Source organism: Homo sapiens, chromosome 7 (genome assembly GCF_000001405.40).
Source record: "Homo sapiens chromosome 7, GRCh38.p14 Primary Assembly".
Taxonomy (NCBI): Eukaryota; Metazoa; Chordata; class Mammalia; order Primates; family Hominidae; genus Homo; species Homo sapiens.
The window spans coordinates 66,781,331-66,802,888 of NC_000007.14; the positions used below are offsets into that span (position 1 = coordinate 66,781,331).

General features: G+C 42.0%; 1 protein-coding gene and 2 pseudogenes across 40 annotated transcripts in view; 2 read left to right on the forward strand and 1 right to left on the reverse strand.

The window, feature by feature from the left end:
- RABGEF1 (RAB guanine nucleotide exchange factor 1) overlaps positions 1-21,558 on the forward strand; it is a 156,898-nt gene that overhangs the window by 126,764 nt on the left and 8,576 nt on the right. For 22 of the 40 annotated variants that reach the window (NM_001367727.1, NM_001367725.1, NM_001367726.1 and 19 more), the window contains 4 exons: positions 2,345-2,511; positions 14,181-14,262; positions 16,044-16,176; positions 17,993-18,084. In NM_001367727.1, coding sequence (NP_001354656.1) covers positions 2,345-2,511; positions 14,181-14,262; positions 16,044-16,176; positions 17,993-18,084 — 474 coding nt within the window. Of the gene's footprint in view, positions 1-2,341; positions 2,512-14,180; positions 14,263-15,287; positions 15,404-15,445; positions 15,563-16,043; positions 16,177-17,992; positions 18,085-18,879; positions 18,928-21,558 lie in introns of all 40 variants that reach the window. The other 18 variants (NM_001367752.1, NM_001367737.1, NM_001367738.1 and 15 more) reach the window with 7 other exon arrangements.
- On the forward strand, positions 8,485-9,013 carry GRPEL1P2 (GRPEL1 pseudogene 2; annotated as a pseudogene).
- LOC124901840 (uncharacterized) lies at positions 9,024-9,134 on the reverse strand (annotated as a pseudogene).

Sequence of the window (21,558 nt, forward strand, 5' to 3'; positions counted from 1 at the left end):
TAGACGGGAATTTTTAAATGTAATTTATTATTATTTATCTATTTTTATTATACTTTAAGTTCTGGGTTACATGTGCAGAATGCAGTTTTGTTACATAGGTATATACGTGCCCTGGTGGTTTGCTGCACCCATCAACCCATCACCTACGTTAGGTATTTCTCCTAATTAGGTTATCCCTCCCCTTGTCCCCCACCACCCAATAGGCCACGGTGTGTGATGTTCCCCTCCCTAAACAGGATTCTTATGTTTCTTCCTCCCATCCTTTGTGCTGTGGTTCTACACGTTACTTGGTGGTTTTTCTCTCATCTTGGGTAGTTTCCTCATACACATGTGCGGTAGTCAGCCACACTCAAGGGAACCCTCTGCAGATACCTGCAGCTTTTTCTATGTAGCCCTCTCCCCTCCGTAGTGTTTGCATGATATTTTGCCATGCAAATTCTGGTCACATTGGCCTCCGTGAACTCCAAATGCTATCTGCTCAATTCAGCAAGTCAGCTAGGCTCTGTTTGAGTGGCCTCTCCCTGTGCCAAGACTTTAAAACTCTCCCAGCAGTGAGCTGGGACACTCTAGGACAGACTCTGTTTGTTTCCCTTCTTTGAGGAGTTAATCTGCTGTTTGTCTGTCATCCAGTGTCTGAAAACCTTTTGTTCATATTTTTGTCTGACCTTCCAGTTGTTAAGATAGTAGAGTAAACCTGAATGCCATCAGAGTATTCCATCATGACTAGAAGCAGAATTATTAGAGAAGGATTCACTTTCAAACACTAAAGAATTTTTTTCTAATCATACCGATGTCAACACAATCTTTGGTTTTCCATTGAGATAAAAAATATTTTAGAAAAGATGTTGCATTTTTTGTTTTAAATTAGATTGTACCTGATTTATTTATGTACTTAAAACATAGTATATCCAAATGGTTCTAGCATAAGAGGTATGGTCAGAAGTTTCCTTTCTAGTTTGTCTCTTGCCCATCTAGTTCCTAAGCACCACTGCTTTGTTTCTCCCACTTTCAGACAACTTTTGTTACTAGTTTCTTGTGTATCCTTTTGTGCTTTTATTCTGAGTTATAAACACATATATTCTTATCCCACTACCCCCTATTTTACATAAAACATAGCACAGTGTACATACCTTACTTTTTTTTTTTTTTTGGAAGAGACAAGGTCTCATTCTTTCGCCCAGGCTGTGGAGTGTAGTGGGATGATCTCGTAGCTCACTGCAGCGTCAAACTCCTGGGCTCAAGCGATCCTCCTGCTTTAACCCCCACAAATAGCTGGCACTATAGGTATGCACTACCATGCCTGGCTAATGTTCTTACTTTCTGTAGAGAGAGCAGCTACTCGGAGACTTGAGTAGCTCAGTAGGAGAATCGCTTGAACCTGGGAGGTGGAGGTTGCAGTGAGCTGAGATCATGCCACTGCACTCCAGCCTGGGCGACAGAGCAAGACTTCGTCTCAAAAAAAAAATAAAACATACTTTTAAAAAAATTATTTTTTCGTTTTGGAAATCATTGGGATATGGGGAACTTAATTTCCTTATAAACATTAGAGAGCATAGTTCAAAATCAGGAGGCTTAGAATGTGGTCAAAGACCAAGTGGTAGTTCATACTTTCTGAAAGCACTTACTGCCTGTTACAACATCCTTATGTCTCTTGTGTAAATGTCCCATTTTCCTTTCAGTGTGTTTATTTGAAGAGGGGAAAGAATTGTCTGCCCAGCCGGTGGGATAGTGTAGTGCATGTTTCCCTTGTCTCTTCATTGTATGCTTTGTTGTGTTTATCATGCTATTAATACTTTGGATGCGTTCTTTCACTTTGATCAGTATGACTCACCAACGAAATGGTGGGTAAATAATTGTGAGTCTCCACATAAACACATTAACCTTTGCTTTTTTCTCAAGTAAAATGGGATTTGGAAAGGTTGTCTGACATTTATAAGTCATTTAACATGTCAGTGCTTCTATTGATTGTTATTCTATTTGTTGACTAGTTTTATAAACTCCAGCAGTCTTTGAGAAGCCTAGTGGTGCCATTTCAGTGTTCATGATTGAATATATAGATCAAAGTGTGATAGATTTTGGCAAAGAAAATACTAATAGAACAACTTTTATTTCAGTAGGAATATCTTTTAGATAATGTAGTTTTGTCTACTCATACTTCCTACTTGTAAAACAGATTTAGTTTACTTTAAGGAAAGTTGTCCAACCATTCAAACATAAAATTATTTAAATTCAAGTTTAACTTTGATGAAACATAATTTAAATAACCTTAGGTAAGATACTTAAAGTAATTCCATGCATGGATCTTTTATGTCATGAAACTTACTATGTTTAATTTTCCCAGCAGAAATTCAGGAAGCAAAAGCTCCCAGTCCTTCCATAAACCGGCAAACCAGCATTGAAACGGATAGAGTGTCTAAGGAGTTCATAGAATTTCTCAAGACCTTCCACAAGACAGGCCAAGAAATCTATAAACAGACCAAGCTGTTTTTGGAAGGAATGCATTACAAAAGGGTAGGTTGAGAATAACCACGTAGAAACATAGAGTTTTGGTTTGAGGAAAGGTCTTAGAGATAATATAGTGCAACCTTGTCATTTTATGCCTGAGAAAAATCCAGACCAAGAGATGTTAAATTACTTACCTAAGAAAAGCCTCTGAATCAAGCTAAAACCCAACTCTTAGGCTAGTACTTTTCCACTGCAACTCAGTGGTGTTTGGATCATCTTTGTGTGGAAATTCTGACCTGAAGCCACTTGAATTATGTGCTTTAGTAACAGGCCTTTTTGACTTGTGACCTTGTAAATAGTATAAACTGCGATAGTAGACCTTTAACTCTGTGCAACCATTGTTAGGCCAGTGGCAGTAATTTTAAGGGTTGTTGTTGTTGAATTCTGTTTTGTTTTTTGTATTTTGATTTTGAATTTTTTCATTCAGTTAGAGAAAGGACAGATAGAATTTAGACAATGAAAGGGACTTTAGCAACTATGGAGTTTCAGTCCCTTTATTTTATAGATGAGGAAGTTGAGAGCCAAAGAGGATAAGTGACTTGTCCAAGGTTACACAGCTAGATTTTGCCAATGTCAACCAGAACTTGTGATTTCCACACCTGTTTCTTTTACCCATAATTTCAGTGGCAATAATTAATAAGACTGCCTGTAAAGGAATTCATTTTGTAAATAGGGATTAATTCTGTTGTAACATTCTATAACCATTAAACTCAGAATTAGCTCTGAAAGTTCCTTCTATGCAGTAAGGAAGTCTTAGAAAGAAAAAGGAAATTAGAAAAGCAGCAGGGTGTTTAACTGTTTAGCTATATTCTAGCTGGGGTCAGCAATCACTAGGCTAATAAGCAGTGGACTTGTGTCAAAATAATTTTTAGATATTGAATTCAGTTTGTAAAGGAGAAAAGCTTGCTTTCTCGCCCTTCAGAAATGTAATTAGACTGTGTAAGTAAGTAGCTGTCTTTCTCTAGGTATTTTTTCTCTCTAGAGTAAAACATTTAGAGTCAAAACAAGTGAGCTGTTATTGTTTTTTTTTTAAGTTAGGAAACATGATAGATATCCTTAATATGGAACAATTCAGAGTTCATATGACACCATCTTTCATTTTTATCAGAACTAAAAACTGAGGTTTTGTATTTATTTTTTTCTTGAGCCCACATGAAATGTTCACGGGATAGCTATATTAAGTTAGTGTATGTATACTGTAGTACATATAGCATGTATGCTGTATAATATGTTTTAGAAAATTGCTCAACTCAGATTTGGTATTTTTCTTTTGCTCAGAAGTGTGATGTGTTCTTACTCTGTAATAATTTAGTAGACTTCTAAATGAGTATACTAAAGTAAAGAGGTAATTAACTGGTACAAATATCACAATGCCTATTTGTAAGGCATCACTAGTTTATATCAGAGACCTGCATATGGCCTCAGATTCCTCCTGTTTTAAGAGCCACTAAGCCACCTATTTTCCATTTCTACACTATGTGTTTCATGGTTAGGTGGCCAAGTCCTATGCATGTATCTCAGGTATCTTTAGTGTGAAGTCTGCACATACCATATATGAAAGAGATGTTTTTTAAACTGAATGTCCCTAGAGAAGCCCTTTTGGCCTTTGTCTGCAAGTTAATGTCCTTTCAAATAAATAAATAAACACTCTTTACACCTGAACTAACATAACTAGCTTCAGATCACTAATCATATAAATTTCTTGGGGCAGTTCCTCTGAAGTTGTGAAGAATGTGGTAGTATAAAATAGCCTTTGTGGCCGGGTGCGGTGGCTCACGCCTGTAATCCCAACATTTTGGGAGGCCGAGGCAGGCGGATCACAAGGTCAGGAGATAGAGACCATCCTGGCTATCACGGTGAAACCTTGTCTCTACTAAAAATACAAAAAATTAGCTGGGCGTGGTGGCAGGCGCCTGTAGTCCCAGCTACTTGGGAGGCTGAGGCAGGAGAATGGCGTGAACCTGGGAGGCGGAGCTTGCAGTGAGCGGAGATTGCACCACTGCACTCCAGCCTGGATGACAGAGCGAGACTCCATCTGGGGGGGAAAAAAAAAAAGTCTTTGTACTCAGTTCTTCAAAACTGCGCAAAACCTTTAAATTAATGTTATTACCACCAACTAAACTTTCTAGATGGTATCCTAAGGGCCTATGCAATATGAAAATCCATTCTTACCTGTTTAAAAACTGCCCAGTCAGCCTTGCCATAAATGGATAATTGTTCCTACTGCATCCCACAGTATTATTCTTTCTAAAATTTCTGAGATCCAGGAGAGTGATCTGCTCTTGCCCACATCTTTCCCACATCATTTCTGTTTTCTCCAAGCCCTGTATATGCCGGTGGTGAGCAGCCTTTTCAGCATATGGGTCAAGTCTAGAAAATTAAATCTTTTCCGAACTGCATTAAAATTTTTAAGCCATTTTATCTTTATCAAGAAACACCTTGTCTACACTAAGATGTTTTTTGTTTTTAGAATTTAAATTTCAGCACCTACGTAATTTTCATACCCACTGCAGTATGGCAGTATAATGCTTTACTATGCAACACACTTCTCTTTCTTTCCTTTCCTTTCCTTTTCTTTCTTTTTTTGAAGCAGTGTGTTGCTCTATCTCCTGGACTGGAGCACAATAGCGCAGTTGCTGCTCACTGCAGACTTGACCTCCCAGACTCAAGTGATCCTCCTGCCTTAGTCTCCTGAGTAGCTGGGACTAGTGGCACACACCACCATGTCTGGCTGAGTTTTTTATTTTTTGTAGAGACAGGGTTTCCCTATGTTGCCCAGGCTGGTCTTGAATTCCTGACCTCAGGTGATCTTCCCAACTTGGCCTCCCAAAGAGCTGGGATTATAGGTGTGAGCCACCGCGCCCAGTGCTATTCAGCAAATGTTGTTTGCTAATATTTTTCTGAAGCTTGTTTATTTTGCTCTTTTTTCTTTCTTGCTAGTCTTACTAGCCACTTAATGTTAAAACATGTATACTCTTACAGTACTTCTATACATTCTTTAAAACAAGATATTTCCATTGCAAATGAGACGGGCAGCTATGTCATTAACACAAAATCCTTTTATGTTGAAAATATAGTTGCCATCAGCTACTTTTCTGTTCTTACAAATCATCATAGCAAGAATTTAAATTGCTGAGCCAAATTAATAAAGCTTAATTTTTAAAACCTAATCTGTACAACATAACTTGAATTATTATTATTTCTTTTTGAGATAGGAGTCTTGCTCTGTTGGCCAGGCTGGAGTGCAGTGGTGTGATCTCTGCTCATTGCAGCCTTTACCTTCCAGGTTCCAGTGATCGTCCTCCCTCAGCCTCTCGAGTAGCTGGGATTACATGCATGTGCCACCATGCCCAGATAATTTTTACTTTTTTTTTTTTTTGTAGACACAGGATTTCACTATGTTGGCCAAGCTAGTCTTGAACTCCTGACCTCAAGTGGTCTGCCCGCCTTGGCCTCCCAAAATCTTGGGGTTACAGAAGTGAGCCACCATGCCTGGCCTGATTTTTTTTTTTTTTTTTTTTTTTTTAAGATAGAGTCTTGCTCTGTTGCCCAGGCTGTAGTGCAGTGGCGTGATTTCGGCTCACCCCAACCTCTGCCTCCCAGGTTCAAGCAATTTTTATGCCCCAGCCTCCCGCATAGCTGAGATTACAGGTGTGCACCACCATGCCGAGCTAATTTTTTGTATGTTTAGTAGAGATGGGGTGTTACTCTGTTAGCCAGGCTGGTCATGAACTCCTAGCCTCACATGATCCGCCCACCTTGGCCTCCCAATGTGCCGGGATTACAGGATTGAGCCACAATACCTGGCCTAACTTGAATTTAAGAATCTCACCTTAACCAAGCTTCACACAGGTCTGAGAGTGATTATGGATTCAGGAGTATATATAGTCACTTATGAAGAGGTATACATTCTCTTTGTCATCTGGACAGAGCTTCATGTGGTGAGGGCAATTTTAAGGCACTGTATAGACCCAATCAAGTGTTAACCTTTCCCATAATAACTAGAAAACCATATTACCTAACTGAATGAGATCTGTGGCTTTGTAAATAACTTTTTTCTGTAAATTATTTATATGAAAACGCTCACTGTAAGACACATGTTTAGACTGCAATTAAATAAAAGTAAATAAAACTTCTGGAAAAACTCTTTTGCTGCTCAAACTATTTAAATCCTGCCCTTGCTAAGTGTTAATAAATCCCTCAGATACATTTTTTCCCTATTCTGAAAGTGTAGCTTGTCCTGCTTTTAAAGGGGGCAGGCTCTACTTCCTCAAAGTACCTACCCTTTAATTTGTTGGGTATTGCAGTAGTGCTTTTTAATAAACTTGGGGCTGGGCGAGGTTGCTCACACCTGTAATCCCAGCACTTTGGGAGGCTGAGGTGGGTGGATCACGAGGTCAGGATTTCGAGACCAGCCTGGCCAATATGGTGAAACCCTGTCTCTACTAAAAATACAAAAATTAGCTGGGCATGGTGGCGCTCGCCTGTAGTCCCAGCTACTCGGGAGGCTGAGGGAGAAGAATCACTTGAACCCAAAAGGTGGGGTTGCAGTGAGCTGAGATCATGCCACTGCACTCCAGCCTGGGCAACAGAGCAAGACTCCATCTCAAAAAAAAACAAAAAACAAAACAAAACAAAACACCCCTCATTTTTTGGGTTTCTCAATTCAGTTATTTTTATTTTTTTAATTTGTATTAGTCCCTTAATACTCCATTCATGGCAATCAATTCAGTTTCTAAAAGACTTCTTAATAGTCATTCTGATAAGCTCTTCTTTCTAAGGAAGCAGTTAAGCACAACATAACACCTTTTGCTTGTTTCATTGTTATTTTTCTAGCCAGTCCTATAAAAATCTGATACTGAGCTGGGCACAGTGGCTCACGCTTGTAATCCTAGCACTTTGGGAAGCCAATGCGGGTGGATCACCTGGCCAACATAGTGAAATCCCGTCTCTACTAAAAATACAAAAAATTAGCTGGGCGTGGTGGCGGGTGCCTGTAATCCCAGCTACTAGGGAGGCTGAGGCAGGAGAATCACTTGAACCTGGGAGGCCAAGGTTGCAGTTAGCCAAGGTCGCGCCATTGTACTCCAGCCTGGGCAACAAGAGCAAAAAAACTCTGTCTCAAAAAAAAATAATAATAATAATCTGATACTGATTATATTATATGGACTTAAAGCTTTGTACCTGAATGAGGACAAAAAAATACACAGTTTAAGACATGGTTATATCTTCAGTCCCATGTTCTTTCCCAGAACAAGTAGAAAGATAAGTGTCCTCCTATACCTTAAAATGACTCTATTGTTGTAAACTATATATTTAATCAAGGAGTAGTTTGCCCTGCCACGTAATTTACTGTCAGAAGAACAGAAGTATGTACCCAAAACAAAGAACCTTTAACTAGCAAATAGGCTTTAATTATTGTGAGAACTTCAGCAGGGGTAGCAACCCAGGACCTAATTTTAAAACTGGAAGCACTGAGGATGAGAAGTGAGGCAGTGGAAATAGCTCTGAGCTCTCAGCATCTATAAGTCATAAGGAAAAAAAGTAGATAAAAGATGTATTTGAGGCCGGGTGCGGTGGCTTACGCCTGTAATCCCAGCACTTTGGGAGGCTGAGATGGGCGGATCACAAGGTCAGGAGATCGAGACCATCCTGGCTAACACGGTGAAACCCCGTCTCTACTAAAAAATACAAAAAATTAGCCAGGTGTGGTGGCGAGCACCTGTAGTCCCAGCTGCTTGGGAGGTTGAGGCAGGAGAATGGCGTGAACCCGGGAGGCGGAGCTTGCAGTGAGCCTAGATCACGCCACTGCACTCCAGCCTCAGCATCGGAGCGAGACTCTATCTCAAAAAAAAAAAAAAAAAAAAAAAAAAGATGTATTTGATAATTATGTTGAGTGAGTAAAAATAATTAAAAATGTTTCATAGAAGCACATAGTGATAGGCGAGGGGAAACTTAAATCATCATCCTGGGGCAGCCGTGGTGGCTCCATGCGTGAGGCTGGTGCCATGCAGTCTCCTGGTGTTGGCATTGTCTCCCAGCCTTCTCAGTTCTGCACACAGCTACAAAACAAAAGAACAGTTGCCAGCACTTGGAAGAGGATGTGGATCCAAACCAAATGGAGGACAGATACTCCCTCTACGGACAAGATACTCATGGAAGAAGTCAAGTTAGAAGAGCAGCTGAAGGAGGCTGTAGAAGAAGATAAGCAAGCATTGGCAGATACTGAGGACTTGCAGCAGATCAGCCAAAAATTGGTGGAGGAGGCAAATATGTATAGCATTCAGGGCTTCTGCAAGGACTCGTTAGAGGTTGCAGATGTTTTGGAGAAGGCAACACAGTGTGTTCCAGAAGAAGAAATTAAAGACAATAACCCTCACCTGAAGAACCTCTGTGAAACTCTCAACAATGAGTGGAGTCCAGATTCAGGAAGTGTTCAGCAAGCACTGCCAAGCTGAACCCTGTCAGAGCCAAGTTCCACCCTTATGCGCATGAGGTCTTTTTTTCGTCTTTCTTCACATGCGACAGGCAATGTGCCAGTGTTGTAACAAGGTTTGAGGGAGGCATATCTCACACATGAAAACCCAGCGTGAAAACCCAGTCATCACACTTATGAACTACAGGAAGATCTAGCATGAGGTCTTGTTCCACATGCTGGTTTAGGGGAAAGAGCTGAGCCCAGTGGTTCTAGTTACAAAAGTGAGGTTCAAGCATGGGCAGCCCCTTAGCGCCGCCCTTGTTGATGAGGTGAAGGAAGCTTAGCTGCCTCTTACAAGATTTTCTTTTCTTTAAATCACTTGCCGTAGTTCATGAAAAGCTGGTTGATGTTTTTTCATCTAAATACTTTTGACTTTCCCTAAGGCTGTTGGAAAGCAGAAGTAACCAGTAGGTAAACAGAAAAGTAAGCTGATCTCACAGTTGCATTAATGAACTCCTATTCAGGAATGTGTTCTCTGATTTTTAGTACCGCATGTTTAATAATTCCACTTACTTAGTAAAAAAGGCCAATAGGACACTACAGGTCTTCTAGAGTTCATGAATCACGCTGTATCTGCTCAGACTCTAGTGACATCAAAGTATTTTAAATGAACAAAATGTCTTTGGGAATTCTGCTTTTTGGCAATCTGGACCCTTCTGTCTGCACTGTGTGTCTCTTGTGCAACTTGTAACATGGGAGTTACTGGATTTCTTAGCCCACTACACATTTCATTCAATAAAGGGAAAGCAAGGGTTGAAACATTTCTTACGCTAAAAATAATTTCATGATGACCTTTATGAAGAACATATGCGTTCCTTAGACACTGTCTAGCTGCTAAAAATGACGGATTTCTGGCTTTTTTGTTTGTTTTTGGAGATGCAAAATGAGCATATGTATCTTAACGGTTCCCATCACCTTTATTTTGCCAGTAATTGAATTTGACACAGTTAGTTTTGCCCTGTTTTCTTCATCTAAATGTGGAAATGTTTAAGTCTGTATTCTACTAGTTACTAATGACCTCAAGATATACTCCCTGGTGAGATGGACTTTCTCAGAATATGAGGACTGCATGCTTGGCACACTTTAAATGTGTGTTTCATTTTTAAAGAGGATTAAAGCCCTCATATGGTTCTTTTCCTTTAAAAAATTATTGAAGGCAGCACAAATTGGTAATACAAAAAAATATGGACATGAAAGCTAATACCTAAATAGATTAAGCAGTTAACAGCAGTACAGACAAAACTTAATGAACCCATAAAATAGAATGTGGCAATTCACATTGAAATGATGGAAGTTCTGGATGAAATACACAGAAAACATAGGCAAGGAAAATAGTCAAAGGTTTTCAAAACTGGAAGTGGAAACAAAGATCTCAGCCAGACTGTTAAGAAAGTGTATAGAGTGCCTCTCAGCATAATGTTCAAAGATAGACATCCACTTGTCAATGTCTTAATCACAGAGTAAAAATTTATTTTAGAAAAATAAAACGACAACTTTACTCAGATGTTATAGAAAAGATGCCAGGTGCGGTGGCTCACGCCTGTAATCCCAGCTCTTTAGGAGGCCGAGGAGGATGGATCACGAGGTCAGGAGGTCAAGACCAGCCTGGCCAAGATGGTGAAACCCTGTCTCTACTAGAAATAAAAAAATTAGCTGGGCGTGGTGGCACATGCCTGTAGTCCCAGCTACTCGGGAGGCTGAGGCAGGAGAATTGCTTGAACCTGGGAGGCGTAGGTTGCAGTGAACTGAGATCACGCCACTGCACTGCAGCCTGGCGACAGAGCGAGACTCCATCTCAAAAAAAAAAAAAAAAGATTATAGAAAAGATGATCCCGTACAATGATTAGAGAGTACTTGAGGTAAAGGATTTACTCACTGCTCTACTATCTTTTTTTCTTGGAAAATTATGACAAACCTTTTGGAGTTTTGTAGAGCCTAAAAGAACTTACCAACACAAACCTGCCCTCACTTTGCCCCTTTGGCAAACACTGTGAGGGGCCTGAGAGTTACCTTATTTGCAGGCTAACAAATTAACCTGCCATGGTTTCACAGATACTGGCCAAAGACACGAGTCTCCTGGGTCAGAGACAAAGGCCAGTTTCTTACAGCAGTAGCAGTAGCCAGAGCATTTGCATTTGTGCTTATCCCCGAGTATCTGTTCCTATAGGATAATGCAGAGAAGACCAGGGAAAGCCTGTGCATGCAGTGAGTTGTATTAGAGGAGAGGAACCTTGGATTTAGGGATCCTTATTAGACAGTAAGCAGTCTACCCTTTTCTCTTGAAGGAGGCACTATCTCTGTCTCCTAAAGCTGTTTTCTATAAAGAAATCCTTGAAAAGATGTTGCAAAACAAAGGCAGTCATTGCCTTTGCTCACAGATAGGTAGAAAGAGATCTATGGAGAATTGTCTTCAGCATCTTATAAAGGGAGGAATGGTAATAAATGGCCACATTTATTCATTCAACCCATACTGAGCACTAACCCTGTGCCTGGCCTTGTTCTAGGCATGAGGATATGGTGGTGAACAGTGCCCTTGTGGAGCTAACATTTTAGTTGGGGAAATGGACAATAAGCAGATCTGTAACATAGTGTTAAGTCCTACAAGAATGGAAAGCAGGATGAGAGACAGTGGCAGGGGTGAGTTCTTTTACATTATGAAAGCAATACTGTACTGGAGCATAAACTGCAGTAGAAATAGAAAAGGAGTTTTCGGCATTGTATTGTAAAATTACAGGGGTTGTGCTGGGCTGGGGGAGGAGAATATGATCCCTTGACACCAGTAAGACAGGCCTCTCGGGTCTCTAAAAGGAGCTCAGAGAGTTTCTAGTTGGAAGCGAGCACTACAGGTTGAGTATCCCTTATCCGAGAGCCTTGGGACCAGAAGTGTTTCAGATTTTGGGGTTTTCCCAGATTTTGGAATATTTACACATATATAAGATAACTTGGGACTGGGACCCAAGTCCAAACACAGAATTCATTTGTTGAATATATGCCTTACATACATAGCCTGAAGGTAATTTTATACCACATTTTAAGCAGTTTTGTGCATGTAACAGTTTTGGCTGCTTTTTGACTCTAGCCCATCATCACATGAGGCCAGGTGTGGAATTTCCCACTTGTGGTGTCATGTCGACACTGACAAATTTGGGATTTTTGAGCATTTCAGATTTTTTATTTTTGGGTTAGGAATGCTCAAATCTGTAGTAATAATCACAAGAATGAATATAGTTTCTTCTAAGTTAAGTGCTAAAATTTGGTGCAAATGAAAGGTGTAAAACCATGTGTAAACTACCTAAAAAGATTGAATGGATAAGCTTTTGCATAAAATACTTGAAGTAGAAGGATAGATTTGAGCACTGCAGTGTGTGCATGTATATGGGTAACTAGTTGACAGTAACAAGGGCTGCAGTCAAGGTGATCACAAAGTGCCATGAGTGCTTGGCCATTTTTACTGAGGGAATGAGGTGACTGCTCCTGACCCCAAGTGTCCTGCCATCCTTTTAGAGTTAAGCCAGATGGTCAGACTGCTGTGGGCTTCCACAGGATGTATCGGCCCTTGGCGTGTGAGGTCAGTGGCCTGTGTAGATGAAGTCTGTGACAGCCCGTCCTGGGGGTTTGTTCTCGGCCTTATTCATGTTCTTCTACTGTGACATCCTTATGAGAACCGTTGGGAGAAATTTTTGATTTTGGTGTCAGAATTTCACCCGAATAATTTGTTTGCTTTCATCTTTTGAACCCTGAATTACATAACTGTTTTCATCCTAGTGATGGTTGCTAAAAAATTTAGTTAGAGACAGATGTATGGGCTGACTCTTGACTAATTTAGACATCTTCCAGGAAAACATTTCTGTCTTGTCATCTGTGGCTCTGCTTTAGGTCTCTCTCCATGTTTAATTTTTTTTTTTTTTTTTTTTTTTTTACTTATTATTGTTAAAAAAATTTTTTAATTTCTTTCTTTCTCTTTCTTTCCTTTCTCTCCTTTCTCTCCCCTTTCTTTCTTTCCTCTTCTCTTTTCTTTTCTTTCTTGAGATGGGGTCTCACTATGTTGCCCAGGCTGGCCTCAAACTCCTAGGCTCAATCGATCCTCTAGCCTCAACCTCCCAGAGCACTGGGATTACAGTTATTTGTTATTCTTTTTATTTTCTAGTCTCTTGTGCTGAACTGCATTTATCTTTTAAATAGCCTTTAAATATTCTTTGGCAGAAAGTGAGAAACAAATACATATATTACACCTATAAAATCAGTAAAACCAAATAAAAATTATCAAGCCCAATGTTGTAAGGGCCATAGGGAAGTAAGTGCATACACGTGGTTAATGACAGTGTGCACTGAGTTTCTGAGGAGTGTGGCTAGCAATAGATACTTAGTGCTATAACATTGTTTATTCATATTAAGCGGTTAATGCCACTTTTGGAAATGTATGACAGAGAACCGAAAAGAAGATAGTCCTTACAAAATTATTTATACCTACAGTGCACAACAGTGAAAGAGGGGGAGCAACTCAAATGCACAGTGGTAGAGGAGAGTCGAAGAAGTCAGTTAATATAATGCAGTGTTATAAAGCCACCAGAAATGATTCAGTGGATTAGATAAATAGAAATGTACATAAAATATGTAAATTATCAAAACATGCATTAAATCTATTTAAGAATACGTAGATTTAGCAAAAAGAATGAGATGGTCATGGTGAGACCGCTAGGTGGGAAGGGGTCCCCGGAAAAACTCCAGCCAGCCTGCCCACCGGGGTGGAGTTTTGGGAAGTTTGCACCATTTGTAGCAGGGAGGAGCCTGGCCCCTCTTCTTTCTGTGTGGAGCCCAGGATTCTAGCTGCTGGCAGGAAGCACTCTAGCAGGGACTCTGGCCTTGTGAGTGTCTCGGATTCCCCCTTTTCTTCCTTTTCACCTAATAAAACCCTGTCTTACCCACCATTCAAACCGCCTGCGAGCCTAAATTTTTGTGGCTGTGAGACGGACAAGGATCCCGTCTTTAGCTGAACTAAGGAAAAGTCCGGCAACAATGGATATTGGAAATAATATTAATGGATAGGTTTTACTCTCCTGCAGGATTAATATAACCTGTGAGTACTTTTAGGCTTACTACCAGTACAAGGAATGGCTTTTGGAAAGTTCTTAGAATGTAGAGCTGTGCTTCTGCACTTTGTTCAGCTACAAGCAGCCTCTTTGTCTCTCTGTTTCAGGATCTAAGCATTGAAGAACAGTCAGAGTGTGCTCAGGATTTCTACCACAATGTGGCCGAAAGGATGCAAACTCGTGGGAAAGGTAACACTGTTAGCCATTGAGAGATTGCGGGTATTGCACAGGGATGACTGCTCAGTCTCTTAGCAATTTCTTTCTTTCTCTGATGGTCTGGCTGGTTTGTAGACTTCATCCTGTAACCTCATGGACATTCTGGGAACTGGTCTTATACTTAGCAGTGCCTTTGAACTGTACCATGCGTATCTTTCCAGGAGCAATTGGATAATTTATTGAGTAACATTTAATAACTCCATTGGGGCAGGGCTGGAGCTGACGAAAACATCTTAGGGCCTGGCTCAGTAGCTCATGCCTGTAATCCCAGCACTTTGGGAGGCTAAAGCAGGCGGATCACGTTAGGCCAGGAGTTCGAGACCAGCCTGGCCAACATGGTGAAACCCCGCCTCTATTAAAAATACAAAAAGTAGCCGGGTGTTGTGGTGCACCTCTTATCCCAGCTACTCGGGAGGCCGAGGCACAAGAATTGCTTGAACCCGGAAGGCGGAGGTTGCAGTGAGCTGAGACTGTGCCACTGCACTCCAGCCTGGGCAACAGATCGAGACTCTGTCTTCAAAAAAGAGAGAGAGAAAGAGAAAAACTTATTGGAAGGCTTTGCTAAATGAATTTTCCATCTTGGAATCACCATTTTGGTGAGTTATTGTATTAATAGTTTAAAAAAAAAAGAGCTTCAAGTTTTTAGGGATTCTTTATGGATTCAACCTTCACTGATACTAGACTTTAGGATATACTTAGCACATGTGTGTGTCAGAGAAATCTCCATTTGTATACCTCAGAGAGCTCTACGATGTTATGGTAAACCTCAGAAAAATGAAAGGATAAGTTTCATCAGCATTCATCAGTCTTGGGAGTTGCAAATGCCTTTGTAATGTAGGACAGGGAGTGACCTTGCTGAAGTCTCCCCATTTGGCAGGGTGTACACTGTTAGGTCCTGTCAGACAACTTCAGTTAGAACTGAGGTTGCTGTGGAAGGCAGCCCAACAGTTGGAAGAAGATTTTTTTGTTTGTTTGTTTGTTTGTTTTTGTCGAGACAGAATATCACTCTGTCGTCCAAGCTGGAGTACAGTGGTGTGACCTCGGCTCACTGCAACTCTGCCTCCCAGGTTCAAGTGATTCTCCTGTCTCAGCCCCCGAGTGGCTGGGATTACAGGTGCGTGCCACCACACCCAGCTAATTTTTGTATTTTTATTAGAGAGGAGATTTCACCATGTTGGCCAGGCTGGTCTTGAACTCCTGACCTCAGGCGATCCACCTGCCTCAGCCTCCCAAAGTGCTGGGAATACAGGAGTAGAGCCACCGCACCCAGCTGGTAAGTTTTTTTTTTAAGCGTATTTTTAAATATAACATTCTTATACTTTTGTTCTGAGTGTGTTTAATTTATTTCTAGTAAATTAGTTTTTTGCTGTGTAGACAGTGCTATGAAAATATACTCTTGGCCGGGCATTCTGGCTCACACCTATAAACCTAGTACTTTGGGAGGCTGAGGCAGGTAGATTGCTTGAGCCCAGGAGTTCGAGACCAGCCTGGGCAACATGGTAAAACCCCATCTCCACAGAAAAAACCTACAAAAATTATTCAGGCATGGTGGCGTGTGCCTGTGATCCCAGCTACTTGGGAGGCTGAGGTAGGAGAATGGCTCGAGCCCAGGAGGTGGAGGTTTCAGTGAGCCAAGGTCATGCTGCTGCACTCCAACCTGGGCGACAGAGCCAGACTCTTTGTTTGCAAAAAAAAAAAAAAAGAGAGAGAAAAAATATATATATCTTGATCTTTTCTCTGTCTGGTTATTTCAGTGCCTCCAGAAAGAGTCGAGAAGATAATGGATCAGATTGAAAAGTACATCATGACTCGTCTCTATAAATATGTATTCTGTCCAGAAACTACTGATGATGAGAAGAAAGATCTTGCCATTCAAAAGAGAATCAGGTAGTTGCTTATTTTGTTTTGCTTTGTAGTTACTACCTTCTAATGGAAGAACACACTGGGGGGAAAATAATGCACCTGTGTTTCAAACCTTAAGGGAAAGCAATAGCTCATGTTCCTGCTTCCTTAGAGTGGAAGCAGCTCTGTTGTGTAAGAAAGACGAGGAATGTGGTGACCTCACCTATCCATCTCCCTCAAGGCAGCTTTTGGTAAGAGTTGTGTTTGGTGTTTGAGATTGTTTTCAATCCCTGAAATCTCCAAGGAATAGGGGGACTGTGTTCTTGGTCCATTACCATCTCCTCAAGTGGGAAGCTGTGAATATCGGTATCAAGGCAGGGGATGTCGGCTGGGCCCGGTGGCTCATACCTGTAATCCCAGCACTTTGGGAGGATCACTTGAGGCCAGGAGTTCAAGAGTAGCCCAGGCAACGTGGTAAAACCCCGTCTCTACTAAAAATACAAAAATTAGCCAGGCATGGTGGCGCACGCCTGTGATCCCAGCTACTTGGGAGGCTAAGGCACGAGAATGGCTTGAATCCAGGTGGCAGAGGTTGCAGTGAGCTGAGATCATGCTACCACACTCCAGCCTGGGCAACAGAGCAAGACTCCTTCTCAAAAAAATAACAAGTCAGTAGATGTCCTCTTTCCTCATTCCTCCCAGGGGTGTGCATTTTTCAGCATTCCCTAGTCACATCTTTCACTGGCATTGGATTGATGACATTTCCCACAGCACCCAGTCTTCCAGGCTCACTGGGGTGAGCCCCAGCACTGTGTACTCCAGTTGCGGTGGACACTGAGGAAGAGACCACCCAAGTGTGGGAACAGGGCCAAGGCTGAGCTGATGAGGTGTTTTAAGGGGAGAAGGGACTCGGAGTCCCAGGTTCCAGACAAGGGGCTGGTACTTGCTAGATCTGTATTGGAAGTTTCATAGCTGAAGTGAGGAGTTGATACTGGGCAGGCTGAAGATGTGGAGCCCAAGGTCAGGAGCCAGAAGTAACTAGAGGGGCCCTGGACCAAGATGCAGAACAGAAGCAGTAACCAAGCAAGAGGGCAGGCCTGCTGCAGGGTAGTTGGAGTGCAGTTAGGGTGGGACCAGGAAACACACAGTGATTCAGGCATGGTGGTCCTGCCCGTGGCCTCCTATACAAGCTCCAGTGTGCCTCAGAAGTTGAGGGTTGAGGCCAGGTGTGGTGGCTCGCACCTGTAATCCCAGCACTTTGGGAGGCCAAGGCAGGCAGATCACCTGAGGTCAGGAGTTTGAGACCAGCCTGGCCAGCAGGGTGAAACCCTGTCTCGTAAAAGTACAGAAATTAGCTGGGCATGGAGGTGGGCGCCTGTAGTCCCGGCTGCTTGGGAGCCTGAGGCAGGAGAATTGCTTGAACCCAGGATGCAGAGGCTGCAGTGAGCCAAGATTGGCACTCCAGCCTGGGCAAGAGTGAGACTCCATCTCAAAAAAGAAAGAAGTTGAGGACTGAGTGTAAAAGGACATTAACGCAGTAGGCAGCGAGGACAGGCAGCAGCCAATTCTCAAATGGTCACTTTCAGATACTGAGTGCATTTCAGTCTTGGTAGCACTGCGTAATGTCATTTCAGTCAGCAAGATGGCCTTCCATTCTTGTGATAAATGCAGAAGTCTCATTTTAGGATCCTAGCTGCTTCATCACGTCATTAGAGCTCGTAGTACTTGCAGGGGTGATGTGTGTGGGCCTGGGATTGAGTGGTCAGTGATGCCTCAGGCTTTCCCTAAACTGAAGGAGGTGACAAGACAAATGGCCACAGTTTATCCTTGGAGCTCTTGTTTACTGTCTCTCTCTCTTTAGAGCCCTGCGCTGGGTTACGCCTCAGATGCTGTGTGTCCCTGTTAATGAAGACATCCCAGAAGTGTCTGATATGGTGGTGAAGGCGATCACAGGTCAGTGAAACCAAGAGCCTTTTTATTGGGATGTTTTCCCCTTAAAGTTAACATTTTACTGTAATATTCATCTATACATTTGTAAAATGCAGATTGTCGAAGGTACATTGGAATGTAGTAAAAGTGATTTGTAAGATTGTTTTATGAATTTGATGGCATTCAGAAGAGCAGGTTCTCTTTTACCCCTTTATTTTCAGGGATTATGGTCTCGTTTCTTGGGCATTAAACTAAACTAAGGTCAAATGCAGATAGAATAAATTTTTTTTCTTTTTTTTGTACTTCTTTTTTTATTTAGTTTTTATTCAGCTGACTGTTCCATGATAGAATAAATTTCTTAGGATTCAGTTGCATTTATATATTCAAAATAATTTTGGATAGAGGAAGGGAACTGGTAAGGCAAGGTAATCCCCACGCTGGAGTAACGTAGTAAAATGATGCCTCTGACTGGTTGTTAGAGAAGCGCTATGAGTTATTTTTCTGGTTTGATCAGGAAATAAATGAAGTTCCCCAAATTGATGTGACACTGCCGTTCTAGACAGGTCCAGCCTCCTAATAAGGTTTGTTTCTCATTCATGGGAATGAACCAGCAAGAGTGCAACACAAACGTTTAAATTACAAAAAAAAATCTTAATGGAGAGATGGTCATCTTTGGCCAGTGTCTCCTTTATTAGAAAGAGGCCTTGGAAAGGCTTGTTCATGTAGACATTGTTAATGAAATTCTATTGGAAAGGAAGTGGGTTAACTGATATTAGTAGTGTTGGAGGCTGGCCATCGAGTAGGCTCCTTTTGTTACAGGAACCAGAGACTCACCCAAGCTACAGAAGAAATGGAGGTTTGCTTAAGGTATTATCAGGGTTATAAAGGAGGTGGAGTCTTTCAGGACCCTAGCCCCAAGGGTCATCCAGGGAGTGGGCTATCTTACTGCCTCTACAACGGCAAGAGGGTCTGCTCCAGGCATTCTCTGCTGATGTGATTCTTCCACTTTCTCGGGTTCTGCTTCTCTTTATCTTCCCGTGTCAACTCCTGTTGTTAAGTAAATTACTAGTTTCTGTAATTTCTTGTGCAAGTTCTGAAGGTAGAATCCAAGTGGCCCAGATCAATACTATTGTTTTTTTTTCTTGCAAGCTTTTCTGCTAGGCTATGGCGTAGGTCATGACTACTCTGCCCCCCGCACCTTTTGCTCGGGGAACCCCATAAGAGGTTGAAGGTGGAGGCCTTCTAAAAGCCTGAATATGGACCTGGGACTTGTGTTTTTCCTGACTCTTACTAGAAAGTTCAAGATCAGCTGGTTTACATTTAGAGTGTTCTATGAGAGTTTTGTCCAAGCCACCGTAGCCTTTACGGCCTGTTGCTAATAGGGAAGTCCCCAGCCTTCCTGGCCTCTTTCACCCAAGTAGGGCATGGTTCACTGGGCGACAGCTGGTAGCGAGTGTTTGTGTGACCCATCAGTGGTGAAAGTAGAGGTGGGTGGCCCAAGGGATCAGGAAAGCATAGCTGTGTTCCATGAATAGTGGGACTCGATAGGAGAGGCTGCCCGTTAAGTTACACAGTGTGGGTCACGTTCTTCTAGGGCAGGAGGCTCATGTTCTGGGCTGACAAGTAACAAATACGAGGTCTGTTGAAGAGAACTGCATAAAATTTTGAAAGTCATCAAGTCCTCTGCCCTGAGGTCGAACACTCTTTAGGACTTCTGAAAGGAAGAGTGTGCCACCCCAGGAAGGGGATCAGAGAGTCCATCATCAGCTCCTCTTAGCTCCAAGAGTTTAGGACAAGGAGAGTGTCAGGGCCTGTGGCTGATGGTGGAAGTTTCCCTTTCTTTCTGTTTTGTTTAATTTTTAATTTTTATGTGTACATAATAGGTGTATTTATTTATGAGTTCCGTGAGCTATTTTGATCCAGGCGGATAATGAGTGGTAATTACCTTAGGGGAAATGGGGTCCATCCTCTGAAGCATTTAGCTTTTGTATTACAGAGAATCCTGTTATATTCTCTTAATTACTTTTTAATGTACAATTAAATTACTTTTGACTATAGTTCCCCTGTCGTGCTAGCAAATACTAGGTCTTATTCATTCTTTCTAACTTTTCTGGTACCCCTTGGCCATCCCCACTATCCCCCATGCCCTGCATTACCCTTCCCAGCCTCTGGTAACCATCCTTCTGGTAAAACATCCTTCAGTTTTAAGTGTTTAGCTCCCACCAATGAGTGAGAACATGTGATGGTTATCTTTCTGTGCCTGGCTTATTTCACTTAACATAATATCCTCCTGTTTCATCCATGTTGTTGCAAATGACTGGATCCCATTCTGAATAGTACTCCACTGTGTATGTGTGCCATGTTTTCTTTATCCATTCATCTGTTGACAGACACCCTTTCCCATTTGGCTCCACCTGCATGACTTCTGTGTGGCTATGGGGGCAGTGGTTCTTAGCCAGGCACCAGTGGTCCCCCGGAGACATTGGACAACATCTGGAGACTTATTTATTTAGTTAGTTAGTTAGTTAGTTATTTTTGAGACAGGATCTCTCTGTCACCCAGGCTGGAGTGCAAGTGGCAACGATCATGGCTCACTGCAGCCTTGACCTCACAGGCTCAAGCGATCCGTCCGCCTCAGCCTCCTGAGTAGCTGAGACCACAGGCACGTGCCACCACACCCAGCTAATTTTTGTTTACATTCTGTAGAGACAGAGTTTCATCATGTTGCCTTGGCTGCTCTTGAACTCCTAGACTCACCTCCCTAAGTTACTAGGATTACAGGTGTGAGCCACTGAGCCAGGCCTGGAGACATTTTTAAATGTCACAGCTGTGGGAGTACTACTAACACCTAGTGGGTAGAGGCCAAGGATTCTACTAAACATTCTGTGATGAACAGGATGGTTCCCTACAACAAAGAATTATTCAACCCCAAATGTCAGGAGTGTCCATGTTGAGAAGCCATGACCTGGAGGTACAGCCTTTGTTTTCACAACTCCATTAAAGATAAGCCTGGACACCTGGATCCAGCAGAGATGGAGCGTATACTTAGCTCTGTGTTTCCTATTCATGTGAAGGCAGAGCCCTGGGAGAAGACATAGAGCAATTATGCAGGGCTCTGAAGAGTAAATCATAGCAGGCAGGCTGGGGAGGGAAATTATTAGACAGCAGTGAGTTTCCTGTGTGTTGCTTTCTCCTCACATGTCTCCTAGTTGAGACTTTGAAGCAGTGCAAATCATGGAATTGCACACATGGGAAAATCCAAAGAGTTCCACGAAGAATTCCTTCAGGCCAGAGGATGCTAGGAACGGGTCTCTGCAGGATGAAGCATGTGGAAGAGATCCCTGGGGGTGTTTGTCTTTCTTTATTCTCCTTTTCCTTCCCTTCTCTCCCTTTTTCCACCCCAGCCCTGCCTTATGGCAATAGCAGCCACACATCCAGATAAAACATAATTCACTTTTTACTCGCTTTCAAAATGTCAACAGTAAAGATGAACAGGAT